Raw genomic sequence first — 1,961 nt, 5'->3', positions numbered from 1 at the left:
GGAAGTTAGGAACAAGGAGGGGGTAATTGGGTGCGGCTTGGCTGTAGCGTCATTAAAGCATAGAATGCAAAGCTAGAAGGTCTTTGTGGAGCACTTGGGCCAATGGTTTTAGGTGCTAGGGAGAGGCCTGCCTGCATTGAAACTACCAGGGCACAGATTAGAAAGACCATTTCCTGGACCCCTTCCACAGAAGATTTTTTATCAGTAAGACTAGCTGGGTCTCTGGAACTTGTATTTTATTTTTATTTTTATTTATTTATTTATTTAGAGACGGAGTCTCACTCTGTCGCCCAGGCTGGAGTGCAATGGCACTATCTCGGCTCACTGTAAGCTCTGCCATACAGGTTCATGCCATTCTCCTGCCTCAGCCTCCCGAATAGCTGGGACTACAGGCGCCTGCCACCATGCCCAGCTAATTTTTTGTATTTTTAGTAGAGATGGGGTTTCACCGTGTTAGCCCAGATGGTCTTGATCTCCTGACCTCGTGATCCACCCGCCTCGGCCTCCCAAAGTGCTGGGATTACAGGTGTGAGCCACCACGCCCGGCCTGTAACTTACATTTTTAACACGCTTCTCAGACTATTCTAATGTCCAACCAGGTTTGGAAAACACTGAGCTCATCTAAAGACCTCATCTTACAGAGGAGACTACGGCCTGCAGATGTGATGGGTATGACTTAGACAAAGTGTCCCAGAGACTAAGCAGCAGTTTGCTCTCCAAAATGTTACCCATAGTAAAGACGTTAGCAAAAATATTCCCCCACATCACCAGGAAAGAGTGTTCATCTGACAAAAAATTGAGAAAAGATGGCTCAGAAAAGCCACCTACCAGAGACCCAGGCTCATGCCACACATTGGGGCTTGCAAGCACAAGAGACAGAGGAGGGAAATCAATTCTGTCAATTTACTGGTGCACAAATTACTCCTGCCAATTTCTTTAAACATCTCCCCATACTGAACTACAGACTGTTTCTATTTGCTCTTCAAACACCTTTAGCTCTTGTTTGGTACAAATGCGGAAAAGCCTTTTTTTGTTGCCATGGCACCGCCACAATAAGCTGTTTTAAAGTGTTAGATATTCTGAAATGACAGACTGTGTTTCAAGAAATGACAATTCTGACAGGGTCAGTAGAAATTGCCAACCTTCTATGTATCACAGATTGTCATGAATCAGTGGTGTCACTATACCAGGAATTTACTCTTGAGACCAAAGAGCACATGTTTTGACAATCTACTCCAGGCCCAGGTGTTCAGTGGACATGCGGGCAACTCTCTCTCCCAGCCATGCACTTAGCTAACTGGCCCCAGATGCTGATGCTCTCAGATCTGAGTCACGGAGAAAGTGCTGGTCCAGTGCAAAATAACCAAGTGTCAATGTCCTTCTCTTAGTTTTTTGTTTGTTTGTTTGTTTGTTTGTTTGTTTGTTTGTTTTAGATGGAGTCTCGCTCTGTCGCCCAGGCTGGAGTGCAGTGGTGCGATCTCGGCTCACTGCAAGCACCGCCTCTCAGGTTCACGCCATTCTCCTGCCTCAGCCTCTCGAGTAGCTGGGACCGCAGGCATGTGCCACCACCCCCGGCTAATTTTTTTAATTTTTTTTTATTTTTAGTAGAGATGGGGTTTCACCGTGTTAGCCAGGATGGTCTCGATCTCCTGACCTTGTGATCTGCCCGCCTCAGCCTCTCAAAGTGCTGGGATTACAGGCATGAGCCACCGTGCCCGGCCCCTTTGTTTTCTTTTCGCGGAGATGCAGCTCCTCCACCACTGAAATTGAAGGCTGACTTCAAGCCTCCCATTCCCAGGATGAGATGGACAAATAGCATGACACTTGTATTCCAAGCACAATCTTGAGGCAACCATGTTTTTGTCCATGGCCTTGCCCTGTAATTGTGGGATGTATACGCGTGCCTTCCTCTCTGCATTGTAAACTCCTCAAGGACAAAGGACATGATTTATTCATCTCTA

General features: G+C 46.6%; 1 annotated feature.

Annotated features, from left to right (window-relative positions):
- Positions 1,559-1,725: a silencer, noted in NCBI's record as "fragment chr1:166322051-166322217 (GRCh37/hg19 assembly coordinates)". NCBI's record gives its function as "represses an EF-1alpha promoter that drives an FKBP-Casp9 reporter gene in an ReSE screen in K562 erythroleukemia cells {active_cell/tissue: K562}" and the evidence as "EXISTENCE:reporter gene assay evidence [ECO:0000049][PMID:32094911]".

Source organism: Homo sapiens, chromosome 1 (assembly GCF_000001405.40).
Source record: "Homo sapiens chromosome 1, GRCh38.p14 Primary Assembly".
NCBI classification, from domain to species: Eukaryota; Metazoa; Chordata; class Mammalia; order Primates; family Hominidae; genus Homo; species Homo sapiens.
The sequence above is the reverse complement of the archived record's forward strand: the minus strand, read 5'-3'. Positions and strand labels throughout refer to the sequence as shown.